This window comes from Homo sapiens, chromosome 13 (genome assembly GCF_000001405.40).
Source record: "Homo sapiens chromosome 13, GRCh38.p14 Primary Assembly".
NCBI classification, from domain to species: Eukaryota; Metazoa; Chordata; class Mammalia; order Primates; family Hominidae; genus Homo; species Homo sapiens.
The window spans coordinates 79,303,501-79,322,474 of record NC_000013.11 but is presented as its reverse complement, the minus strand read 5'-3'; the positions used below and the strand labels follow the sequence as shown (position 1 = coordinate 79,322,474).

General features: G+C 34.2%; 1 protein-coding gene across 50 annotated transcripts in view, besides 1 other annotated feature; it reads left to right on the top strand.

The window, feature by feature from the left end:
* RBM26 (RNA binding motif protein 26) overlaps positions 1–10,648 on the top strand; it is a 94,429-nt gene extending 83,781 nt beyond the window's left edge. For 16 of the 50 annotated variants that reach the window (NM_022118.5, XM_047430507.1, NM_001286632.2 and 13 more), the window contains 2 exons: positions 13–126; positions 1,765–3,607. In NM_022118.5, the coding sequence (NP_071401.3) occupies positions 13–126; positions 1,765–1,854 (204 nt within the window). In that variant the 3' untranslated portion in view covers positions 1,855–3,607. Of the gene's footprint in view, positions 1–12; positions 127–1,173; positions 3,608–7,481 lie in introns of those variants that run through there. The other 34 variants (XM_047430535.1, XM_047430533.1, XM_047430519.1 and 31 more) reach the window with 3 other exon arrangements.
* Positions 14,508–15,009: an enhancer, noted in NCBI's record as "H3K27ac hESC enhancer chr13:79881601-79882102 (GRCh37/hg19 assembly coordinates)". NCBI's record gives its function as "activates a minimal SCP1, AML or CMV promoter by ChIP-STARR-seq in primed H9 embryonic stem cells {active_cell/tissue: H9 hESC(primed)}" and the evidence as "EXISTENCE:reporter gene assay evidence [ECO:0000049][PMID:30033119]".

Below are 18,974 nucleotides of genomic sequence, written 5' to 3'. Positions count from 1 at the left end.
TAATCATTTTAGGCTGCAGTTCATGGAGCTCGTTTCAAAGGGCAAGATCTAAAACTGGCATGGAATAAACCAGTAACTAATATTTCAGCTGTTGAAACAGAAGAAGTTGAGCCTGATGAAGAAGAAGTATGTTATTTTTTTTCCACTTATTTTTACCCTTAATCGTTCATAGCTTTTATATAAAATGTGATTTTTATGGCCGTGATTTTAACATAAAACTTTTATTCCTGACCCATAGTCCAGGCAGGGGATATCAGATAAATGCAAACAACTTTAAATTTTCTGGATAATGAGAAGAAATGTGGATTGCTAATTCAAAAAGAATATATGAAAATCATATATATATACTCAATTTTTATTTACCCTTAGAGACAATGATTATTCATTAGATTTTTATCCACAGGAAATCTTGTAATATTTTAAGTTTTAGGATAATCTATTCTCAGTTGCTTTATTAACATTTCAGCTTTCCTTTATTTTAATTCATTTATCATTTTAGTCATTAGAATGAATGCCTGTTATATGGTAGATACTGTCATAGGCACAAAAATGAATAAGACACGGTCCCTATCTATCATCAAGGAGCTTATAATCTGAAAAGGGGGGTGGTGGCAGACACATAAGAAACTAGTTACAATAAAAGGCAGACTGATAACGCTGAATAAAGATTTGAACAACATGCTCTGGAAACTCAGAGGAAGGAGTGATTGTTTCCATCCCAAAAATTTTAAAGGAGGTATTGATAGTGGAACTGGGCCCTAAGCAGTAAAACAGCTTCATAAGCTAGAACTGGAGCTGGTAATATAATTGAGAGGTATTTTAGATGGAGGGATAAGCATCAGGAAAAATGAAAGTGTGCATTTTTCTTTGAGTAACAGCAGTTAGTCTGATGGCTAAGAGGTACGGGCCAGTGAAGTGTTAGAGGCCTTTGAAACCAAAAACTTAAAAGTAAGCAACTCTTACTTAATCACAAAATAAACTTTAGGAAAAAGTTTAAGTTAATAAATAAAGGTAAGGTGGGAAAACTAAATAATTCCATGTTTTACCTTCATAATGGCACTTCATTTTGTTTGAAGAGCATTTCAAGGCTGTTATACATATCCATAGTCAAATGCAAGAATAAAAATGTATATTTTGAAACTCATATACATGATTTGTCATTTTATATTTTAGATTATACCTTTGTCCTTCCATGAGTTTGAATTGAATGGGGAGAAAAGCAGGAGAGCTCCTGGTATTAGGTATTTTGAAAAGTTTGAAATAGCAGTCTGAGAAGTGTTTATGAAGGGAATGGGGAAAAGAAAGGAATGCAATAATAGAAAATGTTTGTTGCATACAGCAGAAAATAAATATAAATATAAATCTTGGTAGAATTTTATACAAGTCATTGGTTGATTTTAGTATTCAAGGTTAGGAGGGTAAATTAGAGAAAACTTACTGTTTTCTTTTTTAAAAAGTTTGACCAATATTTTAAAGGTACAGAAGATGGCGTAATTTGCTAAAGAGAGGCAGGAAAAAATGGCATGTACAAAGGCTTTATTTGATATTTGTTTAGTGTGTTTCATGCAAGCAATAGAATAGATCATATAGAGAAACCATTGAGTGGTTAAATGTTGCTTTTCTTTGTTTTGTGAATGTTCTAGCTATAAAAATACCTTTTGTATTCAACTCTGTTGAGAGAGATGAGTATTTAAAAGTGTCACCTTTTTTTTCTTTTCTTTTTTTTTTTTTTGGGTAAATTCCTAAATACATTTTAACCTAAAGTTTCAGGAAGAGTCTTTGGTGGATGACTCATTACTTCAAGATGATGATGAAGAAGAAGAGGACAATGAATCTCGTTCTTGGAGAAGATGATTTGACTGATCATTGATCTGCATATGCTAGAACTCTACCTGTGTTTCATTAGTATTATCTAATGTACTTTTACATATTTGTAAAAACAATTTTTGGTAAAATGTGATGAAGATGGATTTCACAAATAGACAAAAAAGAAGAAAACTACCTTCTGATCTTGTATTTTGAAAGATTGATGTTTGCATTTTACTTCAGTAAACAATTGCTAAAGACATCACACTAGAAACATATGCAATGTTTTTATTACATACTTCTACTGGACATCACAGAATTCTTTGGGTTCTTTGTAATTTAATGAATAGGTCTGAAAACTTATGACCAATACTTGTTATAACTTAGAGGACTTTGTTTTATTCCAAATAAGGAATGAATTTGCATTTAAAATCTTAATGAATGTTTTCAAAACTGAATAGATAACATAGTACTCTAACTAAAGTCTCCAAGTTATGTATTATAATATTACATAGTAGTATGCTTAGGCTTTACTATGTATTAGCCTTTTGTTGGACTGTGTATGTATTTTACCATATGGGTTTTAATGATAATGGTGTATGACTGCTTTACATGAGTCCTTATGCATCCAGATGTTATAATAAAGTGGAATGGTCTCTTTAAAAAAAAAAAAGGAAAGAAAAGAGAAAAGCAATGACAAAAAAAAAAAAAAAAAAAAAGCCAAGACAATGTTCCTTGATTTAAAAAAAAAAAGAAAAGAAAAAAGAAAAGAAAAAAATTAAAATAGACCATTCCAGATGGTGATCTACCCTTCCCCCCAATTATCACAAAAGGAGCTATAATCACTAACTTATTCTTAATAATAATGGTTACTGGTACCCTTACAATAATGTACAATCCAATGTTTAAAAATTATACCACTTGAGTTTGGTTTGATCCTATAAATTTTCAACAAATGTCTTAAAATTTAAAAGCAGGCTGATTAGTTTGGAACCAGACTGCAAGTAGAGCTAACATTTGGTGAATAAGAAAACATCACATTACATTTTGGATGTATGAAAGAAAACTTGACCATTTGAAGATATATGAATAAAGAAATGTACTATAGATACTACTTTAGGAAAACACTGTTTGGTAAGTGTTCCAGTCTGATATTTTAAGTGTGTACTTCCTATACTTGTATAAAAATCTTTGATGTTTGCAACAATACTGTGATTTTTTTAAGTGGATTTCTTTTGCAAGTGAACATGATCATTGAAAGTTGATATGGCAGTTTCCAGGAAATAAATGCATTCTTTGTAGAATGGGGGTGGGAGATTACATATTTATATTTTCAAATTCATCATTTTGATTGCAAGTGTTTCTGCCTCTCTTGAGATTATAGTGATAATATTAAAAAATCACATTTAAAAAATTACTTTCTTCCATATTGGGGTCCTCACAATCAAAAGCTGTTGTTCCACCACCACCATAGTCTTCTGCCAGTGGAGTAACTTAAGGATGCTGTTCTTTTTCTTCTTCCCCATACACCCCTAATTGGGGTTGAAGTTGTGTGTATTTTCTTGATGGTAACACTATTTCATAGAAATGCTTTGCCTTGCAATTCGTGTCTACGTTTATATTTAAAATTTCAAAATCAGATTTCAGTTGTCAAAATAGTGACTTTGCTCAAAAAGTCACTATTTTTACTTATATATTTAAATCAAAGATCTATTTTTATGTAGTCTCTTGTATGTTGACTATGTGCTATTCTGATTCATTAGGTAAGTTTGTTTTCTTTTCTTTTTAGTAGTCGTGAAAGGTGCCAAATTGGCAGAGGCTCACGTTTCTTCTCTTTACACCAAACAGGTATTACAAAGAAAGTAAATCTTTCAAAGGCCAGTTAAATCTCCATGCTGATTTTTGGCTTTATAATTTGATTAGTATGTTTTAGCCTGATATTTCAAAAATTATAAAATTCCCTTACAATGTAACTGAAAATACATATTCTGTTTATTTCAGTCCATGAATAGCTAATCAGTTTTCCTAGAACTTAAAATGTTTTAAGCCATGTTGCTTTGAATGAATCAGAAGACAAATATATTTCAGCGTGATCCCAAAGAATGGAGATTAAATCTTACCAACATTAATTAGGTTTACAATTATATTATTCATAGTATTAATATTATTTTAATTATAAATATTACTTAGTATTAAGTTGCTACTGAATTTTTTACTTGTTTATAAATACTAGCACTCTACATGTACTTTCATATGTTTTCATTTAAAACTTAGGAAGGAGTTGTTCATTTCCATTTTATAGATAAGGAAACTTAGGCTAATAGAGATGGAATGATTTGCCCAGTCATAGCTAGTGGGTGAAAATAGATTTGAATGCAAGCATTCTGATTTCAGTGCCAATTTTTTTTTTTTTTAACTCTACGTTGATGCTGCTGCTTTCCTAATTATTGATGGAGTGGAACATGAGATTGTGTTTATAGTAAATATGGTAGTTCTTGCCTCAAAGATACTGCACAAAATTAGCAGACTACTTGGTCATTCGCCAGTTCATACTTATACCCTCCCTTTTAATACAGCACTTTGTTCATATCTCTGTTACAGTACTTACATTGTAATATAATTTATCTGGTTTATGTCTGTCTTCCCCACTAGATTACAAGCTCCTCTAGGAAGGTGGACCATGTCTTATTCATCATTTTATCTTTAGTGCTTATCACAAAGCCAGGCTTATAGTGGGCACTCAAATGTTTGTTGGATGAATTAATGAATGAATGAATGCATATTTAAATATCCAATCATAGAGTGACAAATACCTCCCTTGTTAATTCTTATCAATTTTCCAAAAATCTCTTGAAGATCTCCTCAGTCACTGGGAGCATTTTGCTAAGCAATTGATACAGTTTGAGTTTGTCACTTGTGGGGTTACAAGTACTGATGGAGGTATACACATATGTAGGCTTAGTGGAATTTCCACAACATTTAGTAAGGCATTAATATTTTGGACTAATAAATGTTGTCTGTTTCAGAGGTAAAATACACTTTTGGTTTCTGTCAGTGTATATGATTAGAAATGCTAAGAGCCACCAGTCTAGTCCATCCCACTAATTTTTATATCCAAAGGTGATCTAGTTTAGAATACTAGACAAGGTTTATATGATATTTAGTTTTTGGTCCCAATTCTGCAACTAACTCTGTGGCCTTAGACAAGTCTCTTGCCTTATCCAGGGCTGTTTCCTTGTCTGTAAAATAAAGAGTTGGACTAGATGATCTCTAAGGTCCCTTTTACATCTATAGTTTCCTTGGTACTATATTAGTGTTTGAGACAAAACAATTTAATATATCTAAGCCAGTTCTCCCTGTTATCGTTGTTGTTTTCTATCATTTTATCATTGGAAACAACTTGGATTTGGTTATGGTAATTTATATGATGCCTCTTGGTACAGTTTTGTGTATAGTGTTCCTACATGCTTGCATTTGCCAGTACAAATTACATTCAGCCTATAAAATAGAGATGAACTTCTGTATTCACCAGCACTTCCTTTTTCCAATTGTAACTTTTCATTTTCCTTCTAAATTCAGAGTTTTAAAGTAGAAGTACTTGCTAGTAATGCAGATAGAGTCAGTTCTCTCACCAATATGGATTTAAATTGTCCTTTCCATCTCAGTTTACTCTTTTTTAAAAAAAAAACAAACCAATATGCTACCTGAAACTAGAAACACATTTTTAATTCTGCAGCTCTCCTAACAGATTATTTTGCTTTAGTACAGAGCTGGGCTGCAGGCTGAGTTGGGAGTTGGTAAAGGATTGAGGACAGCAATGTAGGTCGCCTCTTCCTACAGGAAAAAATTGAGGAACGTTGTGTATTACTGGTTAAAAGATTGATTAGGATTATTTCAAGGGATGGTTGAGTTGTCGTTTTACTTATTTCACCCAATATTTTGTGTCTCTACTTAAGCAGTGTTGTTTTAAATGTTACTGGATAATTGTAACATAATCAAATTAAATTTTATATTTAACTGATACCCAAGCATTTGATGAAAACATGTTGCAGGAATGGGAGAGTATTCCATAGCTTTTGTTTTATTGTGATTTGATTAAATGTGACAACTAATAGTTTAAAGACAGGACTTCACTGTTTTAGCTGATTTCCTGTAGAAAGTGTGGCTAAGTTTAATTGAAAGAAATGTCTTCTTACTAGAACTGATTTTGGGGGACTTTATCCACTCTTACTTGGAACACTAACTGTTGGCTTATAAGGGTTCAAAAAGGAAGCAACAGTTGCTTATTTGGCATGTTGAAATATCACTGGCTATTTTAGAGTATGAAGCAAACTTTATCAATATGTTTTCTTTTCCCTCCTTACACACAATGTAGACTGATAGAAAATTAGTTTTAGTTCTTCTAGAATTTATATAAATTTTGTAAGCTCCACCCAACACACACACACACACACACACACACACACACACACACACCTGCCCCACTTACAAAAGTCTATATTAGCCTTTTAAAACAAAAATTTCCTGCGTGAAATTCTGGCTTAGTTAACTTTTTGGTCTTTCTCTCGGGGCTTTTCTTGTTCTTATAAAATACTGTAAATTACAAATGGAAATTTAATGCAGAATTAAATTTCTAGTGTACAATATTTGTAAGACAAGAAGAAAATTTCCTTTTCCCAGATCTCAGGAACTACCTTGTTCCTGTTAACTTCTTGAACTGGCTAGTTGCTCAAAGGTATGTATACAGGCCTTTAGGGAAGAGCAGTTTTTAAAATTTTCCTTTCTGATCATTATATACCTGTCAGATGACAATAGATAATCTTCCAAAGTTGCTACTTAAAAATCCTAGGAAAGAAACTTTGGTGAACATGACTGCCATTCCCATTAATTGCTAATGAAAAACATCAAACTTGCTTAGTAGAAAAACACCTAATTTGGTATAACTTTCTTGCAGTTTATCCATATTATGTGCTTGTTACTTAATGTAATTAAAAGCATTTTAAAATTCTACTTTTTTCGTATCCACTTTTTATACTTGCTACTTCCTAAATCCTCCCTCACTGTTTATTTCATCCATCTACTCATTTCCCATCATCCAAAGTTAGCCTCTCCTTGTATACCAGGCACTGTCTGATTTCCATGTATTCCTTTTATTTTTACTGTGGGCCTTTGTGCTTAGTATACTTTTACTTCATATAATGTGATTAACAAATGAAGTGATTATCATATGGAGTTTAAGGAAATTAGATGTATCTTGCAATTACTTTGAAATCTTTGGGAAACCTTAAGAAGATTGTATCTGTTTTCATTTTTATTTACAACATCTTGGAATTTGTTCATGATTTCCTAAAATTTCTTTGCCTACCCACATCTCTGTGAAAATTTTCCATATCAGTTAAGTAGTTTTCGCAATGAAAATTTTAGACCATAGATATGTTGTATGCTGTGATCTTTTGCAGCCTAATGTTTGAAGGGAGTATGATGCAGAGAGGTTTTGGTAAAATCATTTTAGCCCAAAGCTTTGTGTAATTTTCCTGCAACTTTGATTTTGATTTCTTTCTCAAATAGACTTTTTTAATGTTTAGAAAAGTTGGAGGTCAATTTATGATGTGATTCAAGTTTTAGATTTATTTGCTATTTTCAAAGTTTTTTTTAATAGTCTTCTCTTTTTCCAGCAGAGAGAGATCATCATTGCCTGAATTTAGCTTTGTGACTGCAAGAGCAAGACCAGTTCCTGTCTGGAGACGACTGTTACAATAATATCATCCTATTATTTTATGTTCACTCTTTATCAATTTGAACAGATGTTTACATGTACTATAATTAGCATTTTATCTCTACAGTTCTCTAAGAGTACATCTGAGTCCAAAGTGTATCTGAATGTGTGCTCTGACCTTATTCTTAAATGTTTTCTCCCCATACTTTATAGCCATTTATTTTTTAAACACCTTAAGAAGGAACGAAAAAGTTCTCTTGGATGACGTATATTCAAGTCTGAGCCAAATTGAGGATTGTGTCTAGGAAATCTGTAAAGCCATACTACTGTGTTCATTAGCATGAGCAATTTAAAATGAAAATGAATTAAAAAGTTAAACATGAGTTTGGTTTTAATTTTGGGGGGATCTTAAGATATATTTCTGGGAGTAGGATAGCCACTGAAAATAATTTTGAATAGATGATAAAGTACTTTTTTATGTACTGTAATAGCTTGTGCATTTCTTCTGAATATACTTTCTGATGTTGCCAAGGTCATTTACCCAAATATTTTTTTAAAAATTCTTAGCCCTTCAAAACCAACAAAGAAAATAATTTTCTTCCAAGTGACAAATGATGATCTGTGGATTATAAATATTTTAAAAATTATATGTCTTAACATAATTTTTTCACATTTTTTTGACTTTCAATCAAGACATCGAAGACGACCTTTAAAGCAAGAGGAAATAGTGTTGTGTGCCTAACATTGGTAAAGACTAGTTTTTAACCATTTTAAGAAGTGTATGTCCAAATTATTTATAAGCAGTATGACTTAATATGGCTTAGAATTACTTATAAAGAATCTGATTAAATCTCATCCTAAATATGTAGCCACAATATCTTTTTTATAATGGGACTATAAGAAATGTTTGCACTTAGTTTCTGAGTATTCCTTCATAGATTCTCAGGAGGCATTTAAAAAGTTGGAAGCTATACTTGGTAGTAACTATATTAGAAAAGTCCAATTGACACTGATTTTTATTCACCCTTGTTTTATTTTTATCCAGCCATACTACCTTTATCACTTTTTTTTTTTTTTTTGGTGCAAAGCTTAACATTCTGCAAACTTTTTTTCCCCTTGAGTATGCATTGCATTTGTCATGAAGAGTAAAAAGAATGTAATAAACACATCAGTCATAATGTAAATTAACTGTTTTGATCCACATTGGTTGGATACAGCATGGTTAATTCTAGGCTTGGTTAAAAATACATAATTTGGAAAGTCTTCTAATATTTTAAAGACCTAGTAGTTTACAAGGCCTTTTTTTGTTGTTGTTGTTAGACTTTTGGTTCACATTTACAAACTAGCCACAGGGTGTTCATAAATATTTCCCCAAATTAGTTGAGTATTTTTAATTGTAAACAAAGAATTTTCTGCCCCTACTACACTGGTTTACTGCTAGGGTAAAGACCATTGTCTGAAGACACTAAACTTGGTGTTAACAGTGTTGATTGTTTAATGGATATGGACTACATGCCACTACCTGCAACTTTGTCATCCTGGAGTTTTTGTTTGGTTTGGTTTGATTTTTCACTTTTTGCTTTTAAAATTAAAAACAAAGCAAAACAAAATTGAAGATACCATTGAGAATCAGAATTCAAGATGACTTGATTCTCACTAAGATCACTGCGCTTTTTTAAAATTGCTTTGAGATCTAGTCAGTTACATATTTAAAATCCCCGTGTTGATTAGAGATAAGGTTTTCATTATTTTATTTTCCTAAATAGGATTCTCATGGAGCTATTGTAGATAACTGTACAGAATCACTTTTGTGTAATTGAATGAAGCAGTTTCCTCTGCATGATTGCATAATGAAAGCCTTTTATATATCTATATTTTTCAATACTTAGATTTTACACTATTAAGCTGCTCTAGTCATGCTATATTTGTTTTTTTAATAGAGTTTATAAATATTTATGCTCAAAATACAGATCAACTGAATATTTTTGGTCTTGTTTACAAGATAAATCATACTTTAAAATGATACAGGCCCCTCAAGTGTCTTAGGAAAAAGTCATTGGTGCTATAAAACCTTTCAGTATCATTTTTGAACCCATTGTTCAGACTTTGCTAGGTTTTAATCTGATTCCTTGTGATTTATTATAATGTAGCAGCATACTTATAAAAGTGGTCTGTGCTGAGTCAGATAGAGAGCCCAGCCCATTAGAAACACATCATAATTTAAGAATATGATGCAGAATGCCCTTACACTTATTTGTGCCCAGCTTCCCAAAAAGAAAATTGTTTTGTTAAGAGGAAGGCAGTTAATTTGGCTAGAATCCAAAAACTCATTCAGCATGGCTGTTTTCCCTTATTTCAAATGAAAAACTTTTCTAATACTAAAATATGTAATCCTGCTTTGCTTTAAATTCCCATGTCTGTCACTCAACAGGAGGCATAGTGATTCTTAAATATTTACGGAACATTTGGTGAGTTGTAAAGAGAAGTATTATTGCATTGTAGGTTTTTGCATTGATGTGTCGATTTTTTTGTTTTGTCCCAAGATTTCCTTCCAGCACCTTAATGAATGTTCATATGATAGAATGTTTTAAGTATCAGCAAAGCATTCATGGATGCCTGCTTTTCATTCTCAGAAGGCTAAACCTGTTTTGGGTATGATGCTACTTCAGAACATATTGTCTGGCACAAGATTTCTTCTAATAAGTGGTTTATTTAAACTCAATTTCGGTGGACTGTTGAATTGAAAAACACCAAAGGAGTCTTCTTGTCTGGAGACTGGATTGTTCCAGTTTTAAATACCTGTGCCCATAAGTATCCCATTTCATGAATGTGTGTTGGCATGGGGAAAAAATTTCCCTGCTCTTTGAGTGGAGCGAAAGCAATTGGTTAAGCTGTAGCAGCTTTTTTGTTTATTTTTTTAAAGTAATAATAAAACTTGAACTGAAAAAAGATAAAACTTGAACTAGAATACTACTCTTGTATGCTTAGAATGTTTATAGTGTTAAATGTTTATGTGGGGTTGTCAACATTTTTATTATTTATAGTTGAATTATGTTTTGTTAAATCCATATTGTTTATTATTTTTATATTTTGAAAATTTTTAAAATAAAAGTCTTACTAAAAACAGTTGTTAACGTTTTAAAATTGTCCTACATCTTACATCAGTTAATTTATACTAGAAAAAAATTGCATTCATTAGGCATTACATAATTGAGAATTCTGAAAATGTTTATACGAAGAAATGACTCCACATTTCCTCTTCCCCTCTTTACCCTCCATTTTCAGTTGTATTAAGTCAATCTTGGCACCAGTATGTCACTGGCTTTATGTCTCCTCCTTTCACAGATACATAAATCCTCATGATCCTTCCCCCAAATTCCTGACTCCTTTCCTGCTTGGAAGTTTTTCTCTTTATTCTGCTTGGCAGCCAAAAAATTCTCTTTATCATAAGTGATAAGAATAAAAATACTATTCTGATGTTAAAGAAGGAATGCCGTAGTTTCTGAAGTGAAATTGGACACAAAGTGCTTATAGTGTCAATTTGCAAAGCCGTTGAAAGTTTTCAGAACTTCTGTAATTTCCACAGTTCATCTGAGCCATTTCTTCCCCCAATCTGATTTGGCCTGCTTTTCCAGCATTCAGCATGTTCATTTCTTATTTAATAGTTTTATTGAATGATGAATGTGAATTATTTCGATTTTCATCGCATATGTATCTTCTGTCATCTAACATGGTAACGTGACACTGCTTCTGCAAGAAAATACATTCTCATCTACAGATACACAAATTTTGATAAAAATCTAGTTAAAAGATCTAGCAAAGTAGAGGACTTTGGTTAATAATGGTACAATTATTTTAAAAAGTTATATGTTTGTGTATAGGCACACAAACATGTATGGCCAGCCCCCGTGGAGTATTTGCAGATTAAGCATGTTGTCAGCCTTCACTTATCTGAAAAGTGTTTCTGCACAATGAAGGAATTTTTCCTTTAATCTTTTTCATCATGTAATATTGCGGAGAAGCTAAAAATTTTTAAAAGCGTGGAGGTACTGTGATAGCCTGTCATTTATAAATGATCTCTAGACATTTTAAAAATGGAATTGTATAATTTTTACTGCCTTGTAACCTTTTTTCCCTTATGATATTGATACTATTTTTAATGGTCCCTCCATTATTTGAAGATGAATCAATGTAATGAATCAATTCTCATTTTGGGAACTTAACCTTTCCACTTTTTAGTATAAACAATGCTGTGAACATCATGCCTTTAATTATTCATGATATATTCTCAGAACTTCCTGGTCAGTATATATAGTTTTTAAAACTCGTGATACATTTTGAATTTTCTTTTACAAAGCAGATATGTATAAATAAGTAATAATTGTGCTTTGTGAACAGCCTGTTATTTTCTCTGAAATACGTTAGAACTTAACTGAATTTATTCCATATTCATAACAGAAACCAAATTATGCCTAATACAGTAGTTAAGCTCTGCTGCAGTAGTGACACTCTTATGGATATTTTCCACAATATGTAATTGCCAGGATTTTGTATACCATAGCAGATTTTTTTTTCTTGAAACTACAGATGTTTTATAAGTTTTCAAGAAACTCCATAGTCTCATCATGAGTCTCTATTGAAAGGTATGGGAGATTATTTTTATTAAATAAGGTAAAATAAGTGTCAGAATCTGGACTGGAATTTTCATTTTTCATACTATACTATGAGAATTCACAGAGCCGCCAAATAAAAACTCATAAAAACGTCCCCATATTTTTAATCAACACTCCAAACACCTTTTCTCCAGAAAAGCAATTTATGTTTTCCCCATGAAGTTCATACTGATACAAATAAAGCATCAATTGGCCTATGACAATAAAACTAGATAATGGGAAAATAGTTTTTCCATCTTTTTTTTTTTTTGGTCATAAACAGAAAAGGCTTTTTTTTTTATTCCTTTTTTTTCTTTTGAGGCGGGATGTCATTCTGTAGCCCAGGTTCGAGTGCAGTGGCTTGATCTTGGCTTGCTGCAACCTTGACCTCCCTGGGCTCAGGCAATCCTGTCTTGGCTTCTCAAGTAGCTGGGACTATATGCATACAACAGCACTCCTGTCTCATTTTTGTATTTGTCGTAGAGACGGTTTGCCATATTGCCCAGGCTGGTCTCAAACTCCAGCTCACGTAATCTGCCTGCCTCAGCTTCCCAAAGTGCTGGGATTACAGGCGTAAGCGGCGGTGTCCGGTTCATTTTTGAAAGCTTAATTCATTTCATTGGAAAGAAAATTTCTTGTAAACCATGAATATTTTCGTTAGCTATTCATATAGTGGCCGTGTTTTTATTCAAATGGAAATGGGAACATTTTGTACGCATATGACATTACTTTCAATATTCAAGGGTTTGCAATACTATGACAGTTTTCTTAAATTCTCAGTCTTTGTTTCACTTTATAAATCTAAGATGTGTATTATTGAAGCAGTAGTACATTTTATATTCGATGCTCTGAATCATGAAACTGATTATCTAGTATGCAGTGTATTTGTTTGGGGGATTTTGAATTTAGGACATAGGTTAATGAAAAGACCATTTCGTACTTCTGATTTTTAAGAAGAAAAAGTACAGGTGACAAAAAAGCCTTTGAAGTCTGACATTTTTGAACTTTTAATGTTAAAATGTTTTTTATTTATCCCAAAGATATATAAATCAAATTTGTCTGGAAATACAGGTGAATATTCATAATGTCAAGAACATTTCAAACCAGTTTTTAAAGGTTGTTATCTATGACTTCAGACTTGACAAATTTCCAGTACTTTTTAATTGGAAATGTTAAGAAATTCACACTGCATAGTGTAATCACCTGGGGAGATTTTTAAAATCCCAATGCCTGGGTCATGCTACATGCTAATAACATCAGAGTGTCTGGGGATGGAAGAATTACTGGAGAATTCTACCAAATATTTAAAGAAGAATTAACACTAATTCTATACAATCTCTTCCAGAAAATAGAAAAGGAGAGAATACTTCATTTTATGAAGCTAGAATTATTCTGTTACCAAAAGCAGAGACAGCACAACGGTAGAAACTACAGGCCAATATCCTTATGAATATAGGTGTGAAAATCCTTAGCAAAATATTAGCAAGTAGAATTTAGCAATACTTTTTAAAGACCAAATAAAGGTTATTTCAGAGATACAAATCTGGTTTAATATTTTAGAATTGACTACTGTATTATCAGGCTGAATAAAAGTAAATCACATGATTGTATCAGAGAAGAAGCACTTGACAAAATTCAGTGTTTGTGATACAGAAATGATAAAACTTCTTAGGAAATTAGAAATTAGAGGGTAACTGCTTCAACTTGATAAAAAGCACCTACAAAAAAGCTACAGATCATGTTCATTAATGATGAATGACTGAATTACTTCCCTCTGATAGGAAAACAAGGCAGAGATGTCTGCTTTTACCACTGTTAATTAACATGGTGCTGGAAATTGTAGCTAATGGGATAAAAAGCAAAAAGAAAAAATAGAGATTGGAAAGGAAGAGTTAGAACATTAAAACTCCCTATTTGCAGATAACATTGTCTACATACAAAATCCTATATATAAAATAAATGAGCTCAGTAAGATTCCAGGATAAAAGATAAACATACAGGTCAGGCGCAGTGGCTCGCGCCTATAATCCCAGCACTTCTGGAGGCCGAGGTGGGTGGACTGCTTGAGTATAGGAGTTCAAGAGCAGCCTGAGCAACATAGTGAAACCCTGTCAGTTTCATGACTATGCCAAATGTCATGCCCAGGGTCAGGTTCCAGCCCATGCTGAGGTTCAAGGGAGTGGGTAGATGAGCAGAAAGAACCCTTGGGGAACCAAAGGCAGGTGAAAGATGATTTTATTCAGCAGCAGCTCTCATAAACAGCTCTCTCCGCCCTGTCTCGGCTGCTTAGTCAGGCAGCCCACACACACAGCTGTGCGGCCAACTCTCCCTTGCCTTCAGGGTGAGCAGCTAAACTCTCTTTGGGCACGAGCAGGCCAAGCTGTGTCCTGGCTCCCCTCTGTCTGTCTGCAAAGACAGACAGCTTTGGCTCTCTGTCTTTCTCTGGGTACCAGTGTGCCTCCACAGTGTTAACAGGGCAGTTATATATTTTACAGGCAATAGTGGCATAGAGCCAAGTGATGAACCTTCCCTATGTTATGGCTATGGTGGTGAACTTCTCTATGTTATGTCTATGTGGCTATGATAACAAGTGGAATTATACACCTGCACTCTAGACTCGCTGAGTCACTCTGGATGTTTACTTCAGCCTGTCCTTGACCAAAGCACTTCCATGTTCCTTACACCACCTCTACCAAAATAATACAAAAACTAGCTGGGTGTGGTGGAATGTGCCTGTGATCCCAGTTACTTGGGAGGCTGCGGTAGAAGGACCACTTGAGTCCAGGAAGCAGAGGCTGCAGTGAGCCATGATCGCACCACTGCACTCCATCCTGGGCAACACAGTGAGACCCTGTCTAAAAAAAGCAAAAACCCCCAAACAAAAAAAGATAAACATACAGAAATAAATTATAGAAGTGAGAAACAGAGTCGTGCTTGCTAGGCATTATGAAGGTGGTGGGGGTGGGAAGGAAGTAGGTGGGATTGTAGAAGGGCGACAAGAGGGATCCTTATGGTGATGGAAACATTCTGTATCTTGACTGTATCACTGTCAGTATTTTGGATGTGATATCGTACTACAGTTTTGCATGACAACACCATTGGGGGATATTTGGAAAAGGACACATGGGATCTCTCTGTGTTATTTCTTACATCTTTGTGAATTTAAAATGTCTCAAAAAGTTTAATTTGGAAAAGAGAAAAAAGTAATCAAAGGCAGAATAACAGCTAACTAGCAACATATTGGACATGCAGAAATGCCTTGGAGGGATGTGTGCTCCCTGTTAAGAATGAACTTGGGAAAGCAAGGATTGGAGGTATAGAAAAGGAATAAATTGAGTTTGCTCACCTGAGAGTTTCTGGAGGCACTGCAAACTCATTTCTCCCAATGGTTTCACTGCAACCTGTGCCAGTAAGTACCACATGCATGTTGCTTCTTTTATTCTTTCACCAGTATTGCTAACTGAAAGAGACTCTAGACTGAGAAATGACAGATCTCATCTACCTCAAAAAGGTGGATGACAATGAAAACAACTAATGTTTGCTTTGCTCTCTCTGCCTTTAACATAGATCAGGAGGGTTGAAATCATCCGAAATGGGAGGAGACAGAACAAACTCATAACTGTAAATTAAATTCTCTGAAGGAAAGAGACAGTGTTATGGGAGTGCAAGGCAAATGAACCTGACCTAGGATGATGTGAGAAAAGCCTTCTCATAAGTTCAGTTGAGATCTGAAAACTGAACAAGAGTTTACTAGGGGGGAGCATATTCTTGATACAATGAACAGTTTGTGCAAAAATATAGGGGGACCAAATATGGTGCATTTGAAGAGCTGAAAGGCCAGTGTGGCTGCAATGCAAAGACATAAAATTTGAGAATTATTGATATGGAAATCTAAATATAACTGATAGGTAAGGATTGGACTCTCTAGAGATCAAATATAGAATGAGCAGCTCTCCATTTAATCTAGGTAATATAGGCTAATTCTGCAAAGAAGAAGTAGAAGGGGCAGCCAAAGAGGTAGGAAAAAAACAGGAAAGGGAGTTAAAGAGGCCAAAGTAAAAAAATAAAATGGCTTTAGGAATGAGGGAATGATAAACAATGTCAAGGATTGCAAAGTAAGATAAATGAAATGCAAAATATACCTTGGATTTTTGGATAAGGAAGCCGTCGGTAACCCTGGAAGGTGGTTGTTTTGTTTTGTTTTGCCTGCTTGCTTTATGATGATGATGATGATGATTATTATTATACTTTAAGTTCTAGGGTACATGTGCACAATGTGCAGGTTTGTTACATATGTATACACGTTCCATGTTGGTGTGCTGCACCCGTTAACTTGTCATTTACATTAGGTATATCTCCTAATGCTATCCCTCCCCCTTTCCCCCACCCCACGACAGGCCCCAGTGTGTGATGTTCCCCCCCGCCTGTGTCCAAGTGTTCTCATTGTTCAATTCCCACCTATGAGTGAGAACATGTGGTGTTTGGTTTTCTGTCTTTGTGATAGTTTGCTCAGAATGATGGTTTCTAGCTTCATCCATGTCCCTACAAAGGACATGAACTCATCCTTTTTTATGACCTGCATAGTATTCAATGGTGTATATGTGCCACATTTTCTTAATCCAGTCTATCATTGATGGACATTTGGGTTGGTTCCAAGTCTTTGCTATTGTGAATAGTGCCACAATAAACATATGTGTGCATGTGTCTTTATAGCGGCATGGTTTATAATCCTTTGGGTATATACCCAGTAATGGGATTGCTGGGTCAAATGGTATTTCTAGTTGTAGATCCCTGAGGAATCGCCACACTGTCTTCCACAATGGTTGAACTAGTTTACAGTCCCACCAACAGTGTAAAAGTGTTCCTATTTCTCTACATCCTCTCCAGCACCTGTTGTTTCCTGACTTTTTAATGATTGCCATTCTAACTGGTGTGAGATGATATCTCATTGTGGTTTTGATTTGTATTTATCTGATGGCCAGTGATGATGAACATTTTTTCATGTATCTGTTGGCTGCATAAATCTCTTCTTTTGAGAAGTGTCTGTTCATATCCTTCGCCCACTTGTTGATGGGGTTGTTTGTTTTTTTCTTGTAAATTTGTTTGAGTTCTTTGTAGATTCTGGATATTAGCCCTTTGTCAGATGGGTAGATTGTAAAAATTTTCTCCCATTCTGTAGGTTGCCCATTCACTCTGATGGTAGTTTCTTTTGCTGTGCAGAAGCTCTTTAGTTTAATTAGATCCCATTTGTCAATTTTGGCTTTTGTTGCCATTGTTTTTGGTGTTTTAGTCATGAAGTCCTTGCCCATGCCTATGTCCTGAATGGTATTGCCTAGGTTTTGTTCTAGGGTTTTTATGGTTTTAGGTCTAACATTTAAGTCTTTAATCCATCTTGAGTTAATTTTTGTATAAGGTGTTAAGGAAGGGATCCAGTTTTAGCTTTCTACATATGGCTAGCCAGTTTTCCCACCACCATTTATTAAATAGGGAATCCTTTCCCCATGTCTTGTTTTTGTCAGGTTTGTCAAATGGTTGTAGATGTGTGCTATTATTTCTGAGGGCTCTGTTCTGTTCCATTGGTCTATATCTCTGTTTTGGTAGCAGTACCATGCTGTTTTGGTTACTGTAGCCTTGTAGTATAGTTTGAAGTCAGGTAACATGATGCCTCCAGCTTTGTTCTTTTAGGCTAGGGTTGTCTTGGCAATGCGGGCTCTTTTTTGGCTCCATATGAACTTTAAAGTAGTTTTTTCCAATTCTATGAAGAAAGTCTTTGGTAGCTTGATGGGGATGGCATTGAATCTATAAATTACCTTGGGCAGTATGGCCATTTTCATGATATTGATTCTTGCTATCCATGAGCACGGAATGTTCTTCCATTTGTTTGTGTCCTCTTTTATTTTGTTGAGCAGTGGTTTGTAGTTCTCCTTGAAGAGGTCCTTCACATACCTTGTAAGTTGGATTCCTAGGTATTTTATTCTCTTTGAAGCAATTGTGAATGGGAGTTCACTCATGGTTTGGCTCTCTGTTTGTCTGTTATTGGTGTAGAGGAATGCTTGTGATTTTTGCACATTGATTTTGTATCCTGAGACTTTGCTGAAGTTGCTTATCAGCTTAAGGAGATTTTGGGCTGAGACAATGGGGTTTTCTAGATATACAATCATGTCATCTGCAAACAGGGACAATTTGACTTCCTCTTTTCCTGATTGAATACCCTTTATTTCTTTCTCCTGCCTGATTGCCCTGGCCAGAACTTCCAACAGTATGCTGAATAGGAGTGGTGAGAGAGGGCATCCCTGTCTTGTGCTAGTTTTCAAAGGGAATGCTTCCAGTTTTTGCCCATTCAGTATGATATTGGCTGTGATTTTGTGATAAATAGCTCTTATTATTTTGAGATACGTCCTATCAATACCTAATTTATTGAGAGTTTTTAGCATGAAGCGCTGTTGAATTTTGTCAAAGGCCTTTTCTGCATCTATTGAGATAATCATGTGGTTTTTGTCTTTGGTTCTGTTTACATGATGGATTATGTTTATTGATTTACATATGTTGAACCAGCCTTGCATCCCAGGGATGAAGCCAACTTGATCATGGTGGATAAGCTTTTTGATGTGCTGCTGGATTCAGTTTGCCAGTATTTTATTGAGGATTTTTGCACTGATGTTTATCAGGGATATTGGTCTAAAATTCTCTTTTTTTGTTGTGTCTCTGCCAGGCTTTGGTATCAGGATGATGCTGGTTTCATAAAATGAGTTAGGGAGGATTCCCTCTTTTTCCATTGATTGGAATAGTTTCAGAAGGAA